Genomic DNA, 20,511 nt, shown 5'->3' with positions numbered 1-20,511 from the left:
GCCCCACCCAGCCCTTGAAAGGAAGGAAAGGGGAGCTAATTTACTGGAAGGAGCAGCCTGCTGTCCCACCCATGGCTCCATCAGTAAATTCTGGCAACATCTTCAGAGACAAAGCCCAGAGTTGGTGGGATGTGCTGGGGTAGGAGGTGACTCTGGAGGAAAAGTGCTCCCTGTTGCCTAACCCTGGCCTTCCCCTTTCCTTAGGGAGCCCCCACGTGCCTCCCGGCCTGCACTCACCACCTCAGACTTTCACAGATGCGGGCGGCATCGCCAGCTGGTTCACCCTGGGGGAGAGACGGGCGGGGGTCAGGGTGGTGCATCAGCGGGGGCCGGGCCCGGGCACTGCTCTGGCACATCGTGTCGTGGGGGCCAGCTGACCGGAGGTGCTGGGCAGGGACCTCGTCAGCCCCAGGGGGAGATGGGAGAGCCCAGGGGTGGGGAGAGGAGAGAGAGAGGAGTAAAGAGGAAAGGAGAAAGAAGTCAGAAAGTAAGAGGAAGGGGAGGGGCCCCAGCTTTGAAAACCACTAAGTCCAGAGACAAACCCAAGTCTGGATCCACCAGACACCCCCGTGGCCTCCCACAGCTCCAGGCTGACCCTGGCACTGGGCCTCAGGGCTGGACCCCAGCAACCAGTGGGTGCACTGAGTGCATGGGAGGTCTGTACCCTCCCCGCCCCACCCCAGGGCAGGGCTCACGGTGGCTATCACGGTCCCTGCTTCCCGGCGGTGCAGCAGGGCCTCCCCTCCCCCCCACTCACTGCTGCTCAGCCCTGGCGCGGTCGCTGACGAAGAAGAGCGCAGTGGCGAGGAAGAACATGCCGCCCAGGACCACGACGAAAGGGCAGAGCATGAGCGCGTAGCCCAGGCTCAGGAACTCCCAGAGCGGGGAGTCCTTAGTGCTCTGGCGGATCAGGTCTGAGATCTGCGAGGATTTGGGGGTGGATGTCAGGGCAGAGCCCTCCTGCAGTCCCCCAGCCTGCCCTGGCCAGCCCCACCCCGGGGCTACTCACAAAGCCAATGAGGTAGGGGCTCCCGGCGTCCCCCAGCAGGTGGGAGGTGAAGCTCTGCAAGGCCACGGCAGTGGCGCGCCGCGTGGGGATGACCACGTACTGCGGAACAGGCGGGCAGGTCAGCGGCCAGAGGAGAAAGGCTCACGCGCTTGGCCCTGGCCCCGGGCCGTGGCACTTCTGAAGCCCCCACACCCTCAGACTCACTCCTGCCCTACGTCTTGACACCTCTCTCCCCTGGGCCCTGCCCTCCTCCCCACAGTCCCCTCTACTGCCCACCCCACCAGCCTGGCTGCTTCTCTCCTGCCAGTCACCCTTCTCCTCCCTGAGCCCCTCCCACCCACACACAGCTGCAGTCACCCTCACCCCAGGGGCTTCCACACCTCCAACCCAGACCACTGCGACCTGCCCCATACTGAAAGCGTCATTGGCCTCAAACCTGCTGTGCCCCCAGCACACCCCTCTGAAATTGGAATCTTCACCTCCCTCCCAGCTACATGCAGTTAAGGAATGATACTTTGGGGGTTGCCCAGGCGCCAGTCACTAGAGGCCATTAGCCCAGAGCCCTCCGAGCCTCGGAGTACCCGAGCCATCAGGAACGGCCATGCTGCTGCCTCTCCAGCGCGGCTCCTGCTCCATTCCTGAGACCAGGGTGCCTTGGCTTCTGCCCTTGGACCTGGGTCACGGGGACACTGAGGTCTAGAGAGGCACATGTTCCCGAGGGAACCTGAACCCCCGCCACAGCCATTTGTCCTCACCTCCCATCAAGCTAAAGACCCATCTTGGTTCCCCTCCCTGAGGACCAAGCCAGGCCTCGACTGGCCTGGGACAGGAGCTGGTGAGGCAGGCCCCTGCCTGCAAGAGCCTCCGCTCGCACCCGCGGGCACCCTCAGCACCAAATGCCGGCACTGCTGGGCCCCAGACCCCCATCAGACCAAGCAGGCCCCAACCTACAGGAGGTTGGCTTCAAAGCTGGGCAGGCCAGAGTCAGACAGGAGGGGCTGGGGTGGGGGCGGGACAGGCACAGCCAGCTCTGTGGGTGCCCAGGCAGCCCCTGTTCCCCGAGCTCCAGCTGCCTCGCCTCTTTGGAGTGCCAGCCTTAGTGGGCATTGTGTGCAAGCAACCAGCACCCACGGGGCACCCCGTTGCGGGAGAGGTGGGGGGCGGGTGGAAAAGGGCCTGAATCTGATGAAACGAGTGGCCCTGTTTCCAGCAGGAATAAACTGTTACACTTAATAAACCGGGACGCGATTTCCCCGGGACCCTGACCCTGCCGGCAGCTGTCAGGCGCTCCCTGGGGGTGGAGGCAGGAGAGGGGGTCCTGCCCAGCACCAAGAGCACTTAATCTGCACGGACTCCTCCCTTCACTCTGGGCCTGTGCAGTGACCCTGGCGCACCCCTGCCACCGCCTGGCTCCGTGCTGAGGCTCTGAACTGCGCCAGGCCTCCCCACCACCACCGCAGCCCATGGACTCGGGAGGACACAGAGCCACCCCAGGGGGAAGCGGATACGCCCGGAGGCTCAGGGTGGGGTAAGGCAGGCTTCCCGAAGTGCAGGGGCCGCAGTGCCTGGCACACTCATCTCCCGGGCTGTCCCATGCTGGGGCACCCAAACCCGGGCACCCTGAGAATCCACCCGAGTCCTTCCTCTCTGCCCCAGAGCCTGCCCTGACACCTCCCAGACACTCTCTCCTGTCCCCTCCTGACCCTGGCCAGGCTGACCCTTGGGCACAGGACCAAGTGTCACACTCACCCCTGCCACGCCCAGAGGGCCATGAACTCCTAGCTCCACTCCTGGCTCCTCCCAGGGTGCTCCCATCCCCACCCAGGGACACAAGCCCCTGCTGGCCGCTCAAGACAGCCCTTTGTCCCCAGCTGGCTGGGCTAGAGCCCATTGTTGGCCCTGTGAAGACAGCCTCTGTCCGCCCAGCCCCAGCCGCAGGCACGCCTGGGAGCCAGGCTGAGTAGAGAGGGCAGAGCCTATGGATGCTCAGACCCAGCGGGGGGAGGAGGGCGGGCAGGCAGCGCCACCTCAGTGCCAGCCTGGCACCGCCAGCCTCCCAGCCACTAACCTGAGCCTCGAGATGCCCCCTCCCCCTCAGTCTCCACATGGTGCTCTGTCTGCCTGCCCAACCCTGTTTTCCAGCCCTGGCCAGAGGCAGACCCCAAACTCTCTGATCCCCTCCCTGCCTCTGGGTTCACGTTCCTGGCAGGCCTGCCTTCCTACCAGCTCTCCCGCCCCTTCACCCGCCCTCCCCAGGCACCCCTGTGAGGTCAAGAGGCCTGGGTCAGCAGCACAAGGTGACCTCGGCCTGCCTGGCTCACCATGAGGATGTCTGCAGTGATGGCCCAGTTAGAAAACAGCAGCGTCTCCCCGACGAAGATACAGATCTGCCGGGGAGAAGGCAAAGCCACCATCAGCGGTCCCTCCATCCGCAGCAACCACAGTCTCTGTTCCCTACACACTGGCTGCTGGCAGGGAGCCCACAAAACCTCACACCCCTCCCGGGCCCACATCCATTCATGGGCTATCCAGAGACTTCAAGCCATGCCCACGGCCCTGAGGCACCCAGAGGCCCTGGACAGGCTGTGTGTGGCCAGGCTGGGGATGAGCAGGGGCAGCCAGAGAATAGGAGCCTCCCCGAGGGAAGGGAACATCCAGTAAGTCAGACCGAATGTCCTGTTCCAGACCCTCCCGCGGCCCAGGCCCAGCTCCCCCAGCACCCTTGACCCCCGCTGCACTCACATAGGCTCCTACGATGCTGCTCTTGGCAGCCACGAAGATCAGGCAGATGAAGATGGCAGAGCCCAGCATGCCCACGGCACACACCAGTGGGTCGGCCCGCTGGGTCTTCAGGCGGCACCAGCGCGTGGCTCCTGCCCCCGTGACCACGCCCAGAAATCCCGTAAAGCAGGTGATGGCCCCAAAGATGAGGCTGTGGGGACAGAGGATGGTGGCGCACGAGTTGAGGCGGCTCAGGGCTAAGGCTGAGGGGCTCTCCTGTCCGAGGTCCCTCACCAGCCCTGGGCCCACCCCGCGGGGCCCCACCTGTCCTTGGCCCCACAGGGCGGGCTGTTGCACGTCTCTGCTGTCTTCTGCACAACTTGGGCGCGGTGCAGGTAGAGCGGGATCCACATGCCCAGGGCCCCCGTGGCGAAGGAGACAGCCGACGTGGCCAGGGAGGAGAAGACGTAGCTGCGGCTGGGGAGAGGCCAGGCAGTGACACTGAGCTCAGGGACCTCCTTCACCCCCCTAGGCAGCCCCATGCACTGGGGGAACAGGAGGCCCCCAAATGCCTCGTCTTACAGGCTCCAGGGGTGAGGGTTCAGGCTGCAGGAATAATCGATTCTGGGGCCAAAATGTCCCTCCCAGCACTGAGACAGCAGAGGTGGGGTGTCTGGCTGAGGGTGCTAGTGGGCTGCCCTGCAGGGACAGGCCCTCTCATCTCAGCACCCCTCTCTCTTCCCACCAGACCCCTTCCCGCGGTACTCACTTTCGAATCAGGGCCTTCATATCTCGGAGCCATGAGGTCCGGGCCTTGAGCTGGTCCCCGAGCTGGTCGGCATGACCCCTTTTAGTGGCTGGGACCAGAATGAGGATGAGTGTTCCTGTGATCATGCCCAGGACAGGGGACACCTGCCAGAGAGCAGGAAGTTAGGACACCAGGGCCCAGTGAGCCTCGTCCCTGCTGCAGAAGGAGGGACTCAGGCAAGCCCATGCCTTCTCTGGGCCATAGGCTTCTCCTCTGAGCAGGTATCTGCCCAGCCTTCCTAATTGGGCTGCTGAGAAAAGCTGGGGCTGAGGTCGGTCAAGAGACTGGAGGCTTGAGATGGCCTGTCCAGACCAGGGGCAGGACCAGAGGTGGGAAGGTGCAGGGAAGCCAGACAGACTGAAGGAAGAAGGAGGGGTGGGTGAGTGGAGCAGTGGGTGGATAGATAGAGAAGAGATGGCTAAAGAGGTTGATGGAGAGATGGACAGAGATAGATGGAGGGATGGACGGATAGATGGACAGATGGACAGACGGATGGACAGATGGATGAACGGATAGATAGACGGACGGATGGTGGATGGATGGACAGACGGATGGAAAATAAGTAGATAGCCAGATGGGATGATGACTTTGAGGGAGGAGAAAATTCCTGGAGCAGGTTCCCCACGTAGGTTCCTCAGCCGCAGGGCCCTGGGAAGGTGCTGTTTGGGTATGAAGCGCTGGACTGACAGATCAAGTGGGCTGGCATTTGGTGGGGGCCCGATGCAGGCCCCACAGAGGCTCCCGAGCCCTTTTGGATCTTCCCCGTTTCCAGCCCATTTTCCAGAACAGAACCTCCAAGGCCCCAGGCTTCTCTCCGGGTGGGAGGGTAACACCCTGGCAGCCTGGATTCCATCTCACCAGCCCCGCAGAACACTCTCCCCCATGCCCCCGGGACTGGGAGCCCCTGGGTTGGGGAGTTCCTCTGCCTGCCACCTCCCTCTCGCCTCCCCATCCCCCCACCCCACTAAGAAATTCCACGGAGGCCGCTTCCTTCCTGCTTTTAGGAAAAAACACTTTGTCTTAAGCTTCCGCTCCTCCGAGAGACGAGGGATCTCTGTTTCCTCCGATTGCGCTGTCCTGGGGCCTTGGTAACTTGCCCCAAACCCAGCGAGACCGGAAGTGGCTCCAGACTCTGGGGCCCCCACACAGAGGTCTTGTCCCAGCCTTACCCTAGCACAGCGCCAGGGCTGGAGGCAGGAAGCACCGCCATGGACCTGGAATTTCCTGACGTGGTGGGAGAATCCTTGGTTCTCTCAACCTGGGACTCCCGGGTGGGAGATTCCAACCCTCAGCCTGGGGGCCCCGAGGGCGGCGGGGCTGTGTCTGGCTCTGACACCTCAATCGGGACATCTGAGCGCTCTGATACCTCAATCTGGACTAATCTGGAAGGGCAGGGATTTCAGAGTCCACGCAGCCAGGGGAGGAATCCTGGAGGCCTAGGTCCTAGCCTGGATTACATCTCTGGGCAACCCTGGGGCGAGGTCTGGACCGGAGGGTGTCCTCATGGGAAGGGACGTAGGGCTTACCCGCAATGCCCAGTGCCAGTCTCCGGCTGCCTGCTTCACGCTGGAGCCAGTAATGTAGCCCAGGCCACTGCAGAGAAGAGACACACGTCAGGCTGAGCAGAGACAGGGGCTGGGGACAGGGAGTGCCCGCTGGTCTGCAAGGCAGGCTGCCCACCCTCCCCACCCAGCCAGCTGGCCAGGGAGCAGGTCCAGGAGATTCTCAAAGGCTGACCGCCCACATGTTTAGCTCTCTGAGGACGCCTGCCTGGGCTAGAACCCCAGGGAGTGGGAGAACTCAGAAGTCCAAGGGAACCTTGCCCAGATCCTCACCCAGACCCTGGCATCTCCGGCTCTCACCTGCCCAGTGGGATGGCGAAGTAGAAGACGGACAGCATGAGCGTACGCGTGTTCTTGGTGAAGAGGTCGCCAATGATAGTGGGGGCGATGGTGGAGTAGCTGGCCTCCCCGATGCCCACCAGCCCCCGGGACAGGACCAGCAGCCAGAAGTACTGTGAGGAGGGGTGGAGGATGCTGGGGGACCGACTACCCACCGTCTGCCTGTCATCCCTTGTTCCCACTTTGCTCCCTCCCCCTGCAGGGCCCAGGAGCCAGGGGAGAGAAGGGTGAGGGTGCTGGTGGGCTGCACCTCCGTAAAGACCACCTCCCCCAGCCACTCCGGGCCTCAGTTTGCCCCTCTGTATAGTGGGTCTGACGGGGCCTGGCCGGCCCAGTGCTGGTATGGGACGGGACTATCCCAGCTTGAGAGTGGTATGGCCCAGGTAGGCCCCCTCTGTCCTCATAGGCACTGGGGACACAAGCCTATGTCTCCACTACTCCACCAACTGGGAGACCCCTCCCTGGTTCTGACTTCACTTCGGGAGCCTCAAGCCACCACCCTCCACTCTGTGTGTCTCTCCCAAGCCGGGTGGCTAGGCCAACCCTGGCAGCACTGAGGGCCCAGTGTGAAGTGGGGAGTGGGGAGTGGGGCGTTGGCAGGGAAGCCCAGGGGACCCAGAGCCCCTCCCCCTGCACACACCAAAGGGCAAAGCCCAGCTGAGTGGGGAAGGGTGGGGCCCTGCCAGCTGCTGGTAGCATGACCCCTTTGATGTGGACCTGCTCCCTCCGTCCCCCAGCTGCCCGGGGCCTGAGAACCCAGCCTGGTCATCTTTCCCCAGCCCCACCCTGGCCACCCATCTGGCCAGCATCGCCCGCGTCCAGCCCTCCCCCGGGTCTCCCTGACTTCCCTCCATCTGCTCACCTCGCTCCTGGCTTGCTGTGCCTGCAGGTGCTGCCTGGGTTGGCCCATCTCTGACCCCTTCATGCTTGTCTCTCTTTTTCCATCTCCCCATTTGCCCTTAGCTCCTCGCCTCTGTTTCTCTTCCTGGGAATCACCTGCCTACAGCCTTGGCCTGTTTTTCTGGTGGGTCATTTGTCTCTTTTGCATTGATTTCTTTTTTTTTCTTCTTTTTTCAGATGGAGTCTTCCTCTGTCACTCAGGCTGGAGTGCAGTGGCGCGATCTCACTCACTGCAACCTCTGCCCCCCGGGTTCAAGCGATTCTCCTGCCTCAGCCTCCTGAGGAGGTGGGATTATAGGCACCCGACACCACACCCAGCTAATTTTTGAATTTTTGTAGAGACGGGGTTTTGCCATGTTGGCCAGGCTGCTCTTGATCTGCCTGCCTCAGCCTCCCAAAGTGCTGGGATTACAGGCGTGGGCCACCACATCCGGCCCCCTGTGTGCTTTTAAAGAACAAACATGAGGCTGGGCATGGGGGCTCGTGCCTATAATCCCAGCACTTTAGGAGGCTGAGGCAGGAGGATTGCTTGAGGCCAGGAGTTCGAGACCAGCCTGGGTAACATAGTGAGACCTCGTCTCTAAAAAAATTTAAAAATAAGATAAAAATCGGGCCAGGCGCAGTGGCTCACGCCTGTAATCCCAGCACTTTGGGAGGCTGAGTCGGGTGGATCACAAGGCCAGGAGTTCAAGACCAGCCTGGCCAAGATGGTGAAGCCCCATCTCTACTAAAAATACAAAAATTAGCCGGGTGTGTTGGCGGGTGCCTGTGATCCCAGCTACTGGAGAGGCTGAGGCAGAGAGTTGCTTGAACTCGGGAGGTGGAGGTTGCAGTGAGCCAAGATTGCGCCACTGCACTCCAGCCTGGGTGACAGAGCAAGACTCCATTTCAAAAAAAAAAAAGAAAAGATAAAAATTAGCGGGATCATGATGCATCCTAGCTACTTAGGAGACTGAGACAGGAGGATCAGTTGAGCCCAGGAAGTCAAGCCTGCAGTGAGCTGTGATCACACCACTGCATATCAGCCTAGGTGACAGAGCGAGACCCTGTCTCAAAAACACATTTAAGGCTGGGCATGGTGGGCTCACATCTGTAATCCCAGCACTTTGGGAAGTCAAGGCAAGTGGATCACCTGAGGTCAGGAGTTCGAGACCAGCCTGGCCAACACGGTGAAAACCCTTCTCTACTAAAAATACAAAAATTAGCTGGGCATGGTGGCAGTCGCCTATAATCGCAGCTACGCGGGAGGCTGAGGCAGGAGAATCGCTTGAACCTGGTGGTGGAGGAGGGGGTGGCAGAGGTTGCAGTGAGCCGAGATTGTGCCACTGCACTCCAGCCTGGGTGAAAGAGCGAAACTCTGTCTCAAAATAAACAATATTTAAAAATAAAATGGACATGAAAGGAAACCCTCCACGCATCTTATCCTGTAACTTGCTTTTGCTCCCTCATTCTTATCTTTTTGAAACCCATTTATGCTGGTTAATTAAGATCTAGTTCATTCTTTTCCTGTTGAGTCTCACAGGGCCCGGCACAGTGGCTCACACCTATAATTCCAGCACTTTAGGAGGCTGAGGCGGTAGGATCACCTGAGGTCAGGAGTTCCAGACTAGCCTTGTCAACATGGTGAAACCCCATCTCTATTAAAAATACAAAAATTAGCTGGGTGTGGTGGCGCGTGCCTGTAATCCCAGCTACTTGGGAGGCTGAGGCAGGAGAATCGCTTGAACCCGGGAGGCGGAGGTTGCAGTGAACCCAGATTGTGCCATTGCACTCCAGCCTGGGCAGCAAGAGCGAAACTCCGTCTAAAAAAAAAAGAAAAGAGTCATACATACACACCATTAATCTGTGCACACCCAGTGATGGTCATTTAGATTGCTTCCTTTTTTTTTTTTTTTGGCTATTCCAGTGCTTCTTACATGCATGTGTCTACAAGCTGGAGTTTCTCTCTTGGGTGTATACCCCAAGTAGAAGGCTGGGCCACGGGAGATAAACAGAGTTTTACAATATCCTGCCGTTTCGCTCTCCAAAGAGCCTCTACCAATTTACACTCCCACCAGCAGGGCTGGAGTCCCCGATTCCCCACAGCTTTGATCACACTTGGTATTGTCAGCCTTTTTAATTGTTGCCAATCTGACGGGTGTGAAATGGGATCTCATTGTTGTTCTAATTTGCATTTCCCTGGTTACTAGAGAAGCTGAGCCCTGTCTCTTCCTACACGTATTGGCCGTTTGGGTGTCTTCTCCTGAAACTGTCTGTAGCTATCCCGTGCCCATTTTTCTACTGAGTTATTTGTCTTTTTCTTGTTGATTTATAGTTCTAGATTTTAAGAGCTTGCTTTTTGCTTTACTTTCCCCTATCGGGACTTTATTCTGCAAGATGGTTTGAAACACAGGCCAAACTTTTCTTTCAATCCAGATGGATAGATAGTTCTTCCCAAACCACTCATTTGAGATGCAACTTTCATCCTACACTAAATCCCCACAGAAATGAGGACTCTGGCTCATTGATCTTAGTCCATCCCTCTGCTGTTTTAGTTACAATCACTGTATTTTGATAACTGAGAGGCAAATCCCCTTTCACTGTTATTTTTTCACAATGTTCTTGGCTGTTCCTGGGCATTTTCTCTGCCAAATTAACTTCAGAATCACATTGCCAAAGTCTACCAGAAACCCCTATGGGATGCAAATTGTGATTTCAGTGCATTTATGGATTCACTGGAGGTGACCTGTTTCTCTCTCTGCCTTTGCTTATCTTCTGTCTCCTTCCACACACCCAGAGATGGACCCGGACCTGGCATGGTGGTCCTAGACTTACTGGTCAGTCCCAGGAGCAGCCTCAGAGGTTGGTGACCAGGGGCCTGGCCAGGGGCAAGACAAGGTCCTGAGGGGCCCTAGAGGCCTCTGGTCCAGTCCTTATTTTTGACTGTGGCCACCAGGCTCTGCTTGCCATCCTGGGCCTGGAGCTTTACCTGACCTGACCCTCCTCTGCGAAGCTGCCCCATGAAGCAAGGATGTCCTTGGCAAACCTGCTGATTCTCTCTGCCCTCCCTCCAATGTCCCCACCATCAACCCAAATCTGACCCCGCCATTGTTCTTCAAACTTTTCCAGAGCTCAGCACTGCCACAGAAGGAAGCCCAGGCCCTCTAGCCTGGCATTCAAGGTTCTCCATGACCCAGTCCCTGCTTTCTTTCCAGTGAAAATGCAATCCTCAATCTTTCTTTCTTTTTCTTTTTTTTTTTTTGAGATGGAGTTTTGCTCTTGTCACCCAGGCTGGAGTGCAGTGGTGCGATCTCTGCTCACTGCAACCTCTGCCTTCGAGGTTCAAGCGATTCTCCTGCCTCAGCCTCCCAAGTAGCTGGGATTATAGGCATGCACCACCATGCCTGGCTAATTTTTGTATTTTTAGTAGAGATGGGGTTTCTCCATGTTGGCCAGGCTGGTCTCGAACTCCTGACCTCAGGGGATCCACCCGCCTTGGCCTTCCAAAGTGCTGGGATTACAGGCATGAACCATCACACCTGGCCCAATCCTCAATCTTTCAACACACTCCACCATTTCTGCATCAGTGGGTTGGCTCCCTCTGCCCATGCTACCTTCACCAAAAGGCCTGATCTCACAGTCCTGCCTGCCCAGCGCAAACGCCACCTCCTCCAGGAAGCCCTCCCTGACCCCACGGATTTCAAGAGACTGTTGTCTCTTTAGTGAGGACTCTCAGCACTTTTTCTACACCTCTTGAAGGCTCTGAACACAGGAGTTCCTGTCAAATCTTCCTACCCCGAAGCCTGGGTGCTCCCAAGGACAGGGCTATCCTGAAAGCTCCTTGAAGACAGATCATGCTCTCCCCTTCTTCCTTCATCTTTCTCTATAGCAGCCGGCATGTGATTGCCACTCTCTGCTTGAATACGCCTCGAGATGGGGAACTCACTACCTCACAAGGCAACAGTCTCATCTTTGGAAGGAGGAACAGAAACAATGACTGGCTGAGCACTCGCCGTGTTCCAGGGTCTGGACCTTCACAGCTCAGCTACTTCTCAAGGGAAACCTTCGAGTTGGGAAGTATTATCCCCATTTTAAAGATGAGGAAACTGAGGCTCAGAGACATTAAGTTCCTCCAGGTCACAAAGCTGAGTAGGAAACAAAGTTGGGATATTCAAGCCCAGGCCTGTGGGAGCTAAATGAGAAGACTCTTGTTTGTGTTGAATTGATATTTGCTTCTCTGGGATGTCGATCTAAGAAGTCAGCTGGTCATCAGACCAAGCACAAACTGAGCAAGAACCAGAGAGGGGTAGTGACTCCCCCAGGGTCACACAGCCAGATAATGGCAGAGCCAGGGCTAGGACTCAAGGCCCTCACTCCTAGGCCAGACTTGTTCTTTGCATCCATCCCAAATCAGAGGGATGCTCAGAAAGAGTCAGGAGGCCACATGGGCTGGAAGGCTCTCAGGTCAGGCCAGCGTGGGGAAGGCCCCAGCCGCAGGGCTGGTTTATAAAAATACCCGAAGACCACCTGTCCTTCTGCACTGGGAAGACAGTGGGGTTCAAGCAAAGGAGCTGGAAGCCCTGGGCTGGATTCTTCAACAGGCCAATAAGACTAGCCACTCGCTGGAGGGACCAGGACACAGGGGTCGGGGAGAAGCCGAGCCGGGCCTCACCTGCTGGGGAATGAAGGAGCTGGAGAAGGTGACGGCCGACCAGAAGAAAATGCCGCAGCTGAGAATCACCTTCCTGTTGAAGCGGTCGCCCAGGTAGCCGAAGATGGGGGCAGCCACCATGAAGCTACAGATGAACACTGCAGGGAGAGGAGAGCTTGAGGGGGGGCCCAGGTCCCTGCGCCCCGGCCTCCCGGCCCATTTCACTCCGGCTTGGGGCCAAGAGTCTGTGGAGCAAAGGGACCAAGGAAGCAGCCCAGAGAGGAAACCTCGGCCCGACCTGCACCCCAGGAAGGTGGGAAAGGCCTTACGAGGTCAGGCAGGTCCATGACGCCATCCTCTCCCATGTATGTCCAGTTCGCCCAGTTTGTCCAGGTTTGGGTGAGCCCTTTGGGTACTTTTTAAAAGAGTCAAGATCTATTTATTGAACACTTTCTACATGCCACACACTATGCTAGGGGCTCACCATGTCATATCTCACATATCTTTTTAAAATTTTATTTTTATTGTTTTGAGACAGGGTCTCGCTCTGTCACCCAGGCTGGAGTGCCGTGGCACACTCTCGGCTCACTGCAACCTCCATCTCCTGGGTTCAAGCAATTCTTATGCCTCAGCCTCCTGAGTAGCTGGCATTACAGGCATGCGCCACCACACTTGGCTAATTCTTGTATTTTAGTAGAGATGGGGTTTTGCCATGTTGGCCAGGCTAGTCTTGAACTCCTGGCCTCAAGTGATCCACCCACTTTGGCCTCCCAAAGTGCTGGGATTACACGTGTGAGCCACCGCGCCCAGCCATATCTCATCATGTATCTTTGTATCTCATGTATTACGTATCTTTCCAGCCCCCTCCCACCTCACAGATGCGGAGACAGACTCAGAGGGAGAGTGACTTGGCCAAGACCCCACAGGCAGTAAATGTTCCAGTGGGGATCTGACACCAGCTGCCTGACTCCAGAGCCTGTGTTCCTTATACTTTACCACACTGCACCCCTTGTTCTACTTGTGAAAGAAGCTCAGAGAGGGGAAGAGATCTACGCAAGGTCACACAGCAAATCAGGCAGAACTGGGCCTGGAACTCCAGATTTCGCACCTGCTAGACCACACAGCTGCCCTCACTCCCAGCGCGCCGCAGGGCCTTTCCTAATGGCTGAAAACACTGTCATCCATCTGTCCATTCTACCGTCTTGTCATTCAACAACAACAATTTTTTTGTACCTACAATGCACCAGGAACCGTTTTAGGTGTTTGGGATATATCAATCAACAAAAGAGACAAAAACCCCTATCCTATGAAGCTTTCATTCGAATGAGGAGAAATAGACAATAAAGAAATAAACAAATCAATAACACAGCTTGTCAGATGGTGGCAAGTGCTACAGAGGGTGGGAGGGGCTGAAACAGGAGCTTGGAAGGGTGTGTGTGAGAGCAAGTGGATGCCACGATTTTATATTTTTTGAGACAACAGTCTCACTCTATCACCCATGCTAGAGTGCAATGGTGCAATCTCCGCTCACTGCAACCTCTGCCTCAGCCTCACGAGTAGCTGGCATTACAGGCACACACCATCACGCTCTGCTGATTTTTGTATTTTTAGTAGAGACGGGGTTTCACCGTGTTGGCTAGGCTGGTCTCCAACTCCTGACCTCAGGTGATCCACCTGCCTCGGCCTCCCAAAGTGCTGGGACTACAGGCGTGAGCCACCGTGCCTGGCTGAGAGAAATTTATTGATATAGTTAGCTGGTGTTTTATTTGTTTGTGAGACAGTGTCTTGCTCCGTTGCTCAGGCAGCTGGAGTGCAGTGGTGCGATTTCCGCTCACTGCAACCTCCGCCTCCCAGGTTCAAGCAATTCTCCTGCCTTAGCCTCTTGAGTAGCTGGGATTACAGGCGCCTGCCACCACGCCCAGCTAATTTTTGTATTGTTAGTAGAGACGGGGTTTCTCTATGTTGGCCAGCCTGGTCTCAAACTCCTGACCTCAAGTGATCTACCTGCCGCGGCCTCCCAAAGTGTGGGATTACAGGCGTGAGCCACTGCACCCGGCCACCACAATTTTAAATTGAGCGGTCAAAGTGGGTATTTCAGCCAGGACCTGGAGGAGGTAAGGAAACAAATCACGCAATTATTGGGGCAAGAACAGCAAGTGCCTAGGCCCTGGGGCAGGAGTTTACTTAGCATGTTGGAGGAGCAGGAAAGAGGCTGGGGTGGGGCCCCGGAGCCCACTGTGATGACTGTGACGTCCATGGGTGAGAAAGGAAAACATGAGGGGATGTCGAACAAAGGCCGTGACCTGGCTTTGTTCTTCCAGAACAAGAGGTTTAGAAGATTCCACAGGGAGGCCACTGCCAGTGATGGGAGGGGCCTTGGAGGTCCCAGGTGGGATGAAGAGGCCCAGAGCAAGGTAGGGTGGACCCTAGGTCACACAGCGAGGTGGCCCCCCATCCCTCCCCCTGGAAAGCAGTCCCACAGCTGATGGGCAGATGGCCAGACAAAGGCTGGGAGTGACAGACATGGCAGCCAGTTGGCCTCTGACCGCCAGGCTGAATGTGTGCGTGGTCCCGGCTGCTCCTCCGTGGGCCTGAGACCCTGGCGAGATGGGACCTGAGAGAAGAGAAAGAGGGAGGGAGGAAGGAGGAAAAGAGAGAGGTGAAAGAGAGGCGAGAGGGCCAGGCAGAGCTCCCCTGAACCTGGCTGGAGGAGTGACTGCCCCTCTTTTATGCCAGCAAGAACAGGCCAGTGAGTGCGCGTGGGTGGTGGGTGTACGAGCAGACCTGTTAATTCCAGAGGCCTTGGGGAGAATCAGCATGCGGGTGCACAAATCCGGGCATGAGGCACACTCCCTGGGCTCAAATTCACCTCCGCTCCTTCCCAGCCGGTGACCTCAGTCAGGCCACAGCCATTCTGTGTCTCACCTTCAGTGGTGTGCTGATATATGTTTAACTGGCTCTGATAAAGGGTGAGGGGAGCCCTGATGTGGCGTGTTTGCTCATTTCTTTTTTTTCTGAGATGGAGTTTCGCTCTGTCGCCCAGGCTGGAGTGCAGTGGCACCGTCTCAGCTCACTGCAATCTCTGCCTCCCGGGTTCAAGCGATTCTCTTGCCTCGGCCTCCCAAGTAGCTGGGATTATAGGCATCTGCCACCACGCCCGGCTAATTTTTGAATGTTTAGTAGAGACAAGGTTTTGCCATGTTGGCCAGGCTGGTCTCAAACACCTGATCTCAGGTGATCCTCCTGCCTCGGCCTCCCAAAGTGCTGGGATTACAGGGGTGAGCCACCGTGCCCGGCCGTGTTTGCCCATTTCTGTGGTGTAAACACTCCGCCCTGGCTGAGTTCAAGCTACCCACGTCGTGTCACTGATGGGCGTTGGAAAGGGATGTGCGGGGACACGCCATTGTCCAGTGTTTCTACCACACAAATAGAACAGACGCCACTCACCATAGGACCACAGATAACGCTGAAACACAGCAAAATAATTAGGAAGTGAGGACTTTTGAGTAGTTATTACCTTGTTTCTAATTATTTAATTGTAAGCCGATATCATTTAGTTTTTAACAATGGTTGTATTTTACGACTAGCTCACACACCATTCCTGAAATGTTAACAATTGACTCTCATGAGCTGGCCTGAGCCAGCGCCAACATGCCAGCATCCTCATCTGTAAAATGAAGATAAAAATAGCAGCTCTCCAGGGTGGGTCTGGGTGCTGGATAGCACGTGCAAGGTGCTTAATGCCACACCCTGCCCAGAGCAGGCCGGCCTTGGTCAACACTGGGCCCTTGTTTAAATTAGTCAAGGCAGAAATTATTTCCTCACATTTAGAAAAAGAATTTTTCCTGCTGGGCCTGCCTCCAAGGACCTGCCTGAGATCAGATCAGAATGTGGCAGGAGGGAGATTTCCAGTTGCATCAGGACTGACACATGTTGGGGGAGGAGGAGGAATTGTTCTCCCTGTGCCTGTCTGTGCTAGGTGGCAAGTGGACAGAAGGAATCAGAAGAGAAGTTTCCCCCTGTCTGGCCAGGGGCAGATCTTGTTCATAGGTTGCTCTGTTTAAAGGACAACCTATGTTGGGGAACCACCAAGGAGCTCCAGATCCTGCCAGGATAATGAAGAGAGGCTTCCCGGAGGCGGTGGTGACAAAGCTGGGCACTGAAGCATGCATAGGAGTTTACCGCTAAGATAATACTTAACATCAAGAATATACGCTGAAATATAAACTTCAGATCAGCAATATTGTATAATGGTTCACGAGGCATGATGCTTAGTGTTCATGATAACTGCAGTTATTATTTATGGATATATAGGCAAGGCCCAGCATGCAGCCTTGACATATGCACAGATGATCTCTTTTGATTCTGTTCTCTTCATTTTACAGAGGAGACAATGGAGGCCAAAAGAAGTGATGTCACACAGCGAGTGTGCGGCTGAGCCAGAATTTAAATCCCAGTTTGGCAGACTCCAGAGTCCTTGCTCTAAATCACTCCCCAGACTGCCATGCTGGGAAGGGGGAAGGTCCCAGCTGATGTTCCCAAGGTCAGGGAAAGTTCAGGGCCTGCTGAGGACAGCAAGGAGACAGGTCAGGCCATGGCCTGAGGATGCTCAAGAGGAAGCAGCGAGAGATGAGGCTGTGGAGGGAGGACTGGGCTAAAGACCAGGACAGGGTTTGGTGTTTAGAAGGCGGCAGAGAACCACAGCGCGCTCTCTCCACCCCGCCCCCCAACACCATGGTAGGATCCTTGAAAAAGCCCCCTCCCGGGGGGGTGACGAGGGACTGGAGGGACGTGACCCAGACCTTCGCCAGACCCCGGCCATCATGCTCCATTCTCTCCTCTTGCCCACAGTGGAGCAGGAAGCACGGGCCCTTCTTAGCTCTTTCAACCCCTCCCTGGTTTCTGGCTCCTCACTTAGATGGGCAGAAGTCCCCAGGACTGCAGGTGGACTCCTGGCAGAAGCTGGCACGCCCCGTCCCCACCCACCGGCCCCAGCCTGATGAACTTGCCCAAGCACCTACGTGCCCTTAGCTCACCTGATCCTCCCCACGTCCATCCCTATCTAACAGCTGAGGTCACTGAGGCCCCAAGAGGTGGAGGAAGTTGCCCGAGATGACAGACCAAATTAGGAAGGCACAGTCTGGACCAGCCTGCCCCTCAGTGTCTTCCCTTGGGACATGGCAGTCCAGGGTCAGGAGGGAGGTGGGATCCATCACTGCTGCCCTCTCTCTGCTCAGGACAGACAGGAGGGAGGACCCCGCCTGGCCCCCTGGAGGTCACAGGCCATGGAGGGGCCTGAACACAATCAGGGTAGGGACGGGGAGGGGGCTGAGAGAATGTTCCTGGCAGAAGGGACAGGATAGGCGAAGCCTTGCCCATGTGGACTGTGTCCGATGGGGACACAGAGGCCAGCAGGCAACTCTGCTGAGAATAAAGACCAGCCTGGGCTGGGCCTCCAAGCTAGAAGCTTCCCCTGCCCACCACCCCGCAATCCCGTGGTCTTTGTTTGTTTGAGGAGAGCTTTCTGGGCAGACTGGCAGCCCCACCCCTGGTTTTGGTAGGGGCGGCTTTCCCAGCAGTTCCCGCAGGGACATCCTGTGGAGGGTGTGCTGAGCCCACAGGTCTAGGACAATGGAGAGGCAGGGCAGGGAGCCAGGGCCGAGCGGGCAGGGCCGTGACAGCAGGGAGGGAGGGGTCAGACCAGCCCGCCTGCCTCGGGGTCTTGGGCCAGGGCCTCACTCCCTCCTCCTCGCCAGGCTGGCAGGAGGCCGTCAGAAAGCCAGTGCTGTCCACCTCTCACGGCAGCCCAGAGCTCAGAACCCCCACGGGCCCTCGGTGTCCTGGTGGGCAGCCCCAGGACCCCTGTCCATGGTGAGCGGAGCCATCCCCATGGCACACATGGCCTGTATGACCCCAGAAAGCAGTTTTGGAGCAGGAAAGGGCAAGTCTGAGCTTGAGGGAGCCCTGAGCCCCCGCCCTGTGGCCTTGGAGCCTGCATTCAGCCCTTGCTTCGGCCTGGGCTGAGCCACGGCTATTTTTACATGGCTGATCTGTTATTTGGAGAAGACCTACCATCCTCCACATCCTGTGGGCAGGGAGGGTGCTCAGGCAGGCATGGGTGGGGCGGGGGCCAGGCTCTGCCATCCAAGGGACGGCCTGGGCTGGCCAAGCTGACGGAGAATGCTCAGGACAGATGGCCCCATCAGCGCCTGAAAGCTCACCACGCTCAGACTTCCCGGTGGAAGGACGGGAACACCTGCTCTGTGATCCCCTACTCAGGATGTAAACCTTGTGTTGGGCTCTCAGGCCTCAGGGTGAATGAGGTTTTGGGGCCACTCCTTGAAAAGGAGGGCTTTGGGGAACAGCCGCAGGGGCTGCCCGGCTGTGCCTTCAGAACCCAAGTCTGCTGAAGCAGGAGTCGCTGGGCTGGCCAAAGACGGGAGGGGAGAACAGGCAGAAGGAGACTTACCCCCAAAACAGAGGCACTGTCTGGTTTCGGTTTGAGCTGGCTCTTCCTCTGTCCCCACTCTCCCTCCGTTCCCCCATCCCCATCCTGGCACTTCCTCGTGAGCCTACAAACCCCGGCCCTGAGTAGCCTTCAGCTTCCTCTGCTGCCCCTTCCCACACTTGGTCCCAGAATGAATATCCTGAGACACACATCTTTTTTGTTTGTTTGTTTTTGTTTTGTTTTTGAGACGGAGTCTCGCTCTGTCGCCCAGGCTGGAGTGCAGTGGCGCGATCTCGGCTCACTGCAAGCTCCGCCTCCTGGGTTCATGCCATTCCCCTGCCTCAGTCTCCCGAGTAGCGGGATTACAGGCACCCGCCACCACACCCGGCTAATTTTTTGTATTTTTAGCAGAGACGGGGTTTCACCATGTTAGCCAGGATGGTCTCGATCTCCTGACCTCGTGATCCACCCGCCTCAGCCTCCCAAAGTGCTGGGATTACAGGCGTGAGCCACCGCGCCCGGCCCGAGACACACATTTTACACGGACTGCCCTGTTCCAAAACCTTCTCTGGCTCCCTACTGCCCCAAGACAAAACCTACATGCCTTATCTTGGCCTTCAAGCCTTTCACACTCAGACCCTGCCCACTGTCCAGCCTCTTCTCCTTCTGTTCTCCCCATACGCCAACCCATGGCCAATGGGCCACAGGCCACTCGAGTCAGGCAGTGCCACAAACAGCCTTCGTTCTCCCTCACCCTTCCCTGTGTTGCATTGACGCTGATTTCCTCAGATCTAGCTTCTAATTCACTTTTCTTTTCAACTAGGTGTAGTCTACTCATTAACTCACCTAATTATTCCATTTTTTATTTTAATACATATTTTTCACTTCTGGTATTTTCGAATATTAGTCTTTTAAACATTTTCCGGTTCTCTTTTCATAATGTTCTGTTCTTGTCTTACAAGTCCTATCCTTTCCTTTAGAGCTTTGAATATTAAACACACCTAATTTTAAAGTCCCTTTGTGACGAATCTGTTTTCCCATCTTCAGGGTCAGCTGACTCCCTCTCAAAAAAATGAGGGAGAACTGTATGCTCTATTAATTTTTTTTTTTGAGACGGAGTCTTGGTCTTGTTACCCAGGCTGGAGTGCAGTGGTGTGATCTTGGCTCACTGCAACCTCCACCTCTTGGGTTCAAGCGATTCTCCTGCCTCAGCCTCCTGAGTAGCTGAGATTACAGGCGCCCACACCATGCCCAGCTAATTTATGTATTTTAGTAGAGATGGGGTTCACCATGTTGGTTCAGGCTGGTCTCAAACTGCTGACCTCGGGTGATCCACCCGCCTCAGCCTCCCAAAGTGCTGGGATTACAGGTGTGAGCCACCGCGCCTGGCCTGCTCTATTAATTTTGAATTTGAGTTTGTCTTCAGTGGAAATTGTCCCGTGTCCCATGCAGGCTCTGGGTCATGAAGAATTCCCTAAGGAATGGTTTGGGATTTGCTTCTGCCAGGGTCCCTGGAAACAGAGGGGGCCTCTATGGGGAAGGAAGTGGAAGCCCCAGGCCTGTACGGAGCAGGGGCTGGAACTAGCCAGCGCCAGGTGGGAAATGCCCATTCTCGAAAGGGAACTCTACCAGAAAAACTACCCAGCAGCCTGGGGACACAGCTTGGAATCAGGAAGCTTGGATGGAAACAAAATCACCCACGGTTAGAACGAAGAAACCCCAGGCCCGGAAACTGAGCCAGGCGGGCGTTCCCTTGATGAATCTGGGTGATGTGTTCTATGGAAGTTCGTTGCGCCATTCTCACTACTTTTTATGTCTGTTTAAAATTTTTCATGATAAAAATGTTTATATTGAAAATACCGTAACAAGCTTCGAAGACGTTTATCTGGTCCCTAAACACTCTGCATCACTTGGCTTCAATTCTAGCTCCCACTCCGGTTTTTGAGTTCAGCTCTCTGCTTCTGGCATCTGGGAATTTCCCTGCTAGCTTTAGCTGTCAAGCTCAGCTTTGTAATTTCAACATGTTTTCTTGGCATATTTTATCTAGCTTGGAGGGGAAAGGAGGGCTTCACACATCTACTCGATCTCACACAC

General features: G+C 56.3%; 1 protein-coding gene across 4 annotated transcripts in view; it reads right to left on the bottom strand.

The window, feature by feature from the left end:
* Positions 1-20,511, bottom strand: part of SPNS2 (SPNS lysolipid transporter 2, sphingosine-1-phosphate) — a 40,155-nt gene that overhangs the window by 1,852 nt on the left and 17,792 nt on the right. For 2 of the 4 annotated variants that reach the window (NM_001124758.3, XM_047435339.1), the window contains exons 3-12: positions 11,991-12,127; positions 6,401-6,552; positions 6,065-6,131; positions 4,500-4,642; positions 4,055-4,207; positions 3,752-3,941; positions 3,331-3,396; positions 1,010-1,108; positions 758-921; positions 238-284 (exon numbers count right to left, since the gene is read on the bottom strand). In NM_001124758.3, the coding sequence (NP_001118230.1) occupies positions 242-284; positions 758-921; positions 1,010-1,108; positions 3,331-3,396; positions 3,752-3,941; positions 4,055-4,207; positions 4,500-4,642; positions 6,065-6,131; positions 6,401-6,552; positions 11,991-12,127 (1,214 nt within the window). In that variant the 3' untranslated portion in view covers positions 238-241. Of the gene's footprint in view, positions 1-237; positions 399-757; positions 922-1,009; positions 1,109-3,330; positions 3,397-3,751; positions 3,942-4,054; positions 4,208-4,499; positions 4,643-6,064; positions 6,132-6,400; positions 6,553-7,301; positions 7,712-11,990; positions 12,128-20,511 lie in introns of those variants that run through there. The other 2 variants (XR_007065260.1, XR_007065261.1) reach the window with 2 other exon arrangements.

The sequence above is a fragment of the Homo sapiens genome, chromosome 17 (genome assembly GCF_000001405.40).
Source record: "Homo sapiens chromosome 17, GRCh38.p14 Primary Assembly".
NCBI classification, from domain to species: domain Eukaryota; kingdom Metazoa; phylum Chordata; class Mammalia; order Primates; family Hominidae; genus Homo; species Homo sapiens.
Note: the sequence above shows the minus strand (reverse complement) of the source record. Positions and strands in the feature narration are given on the sequence as shown.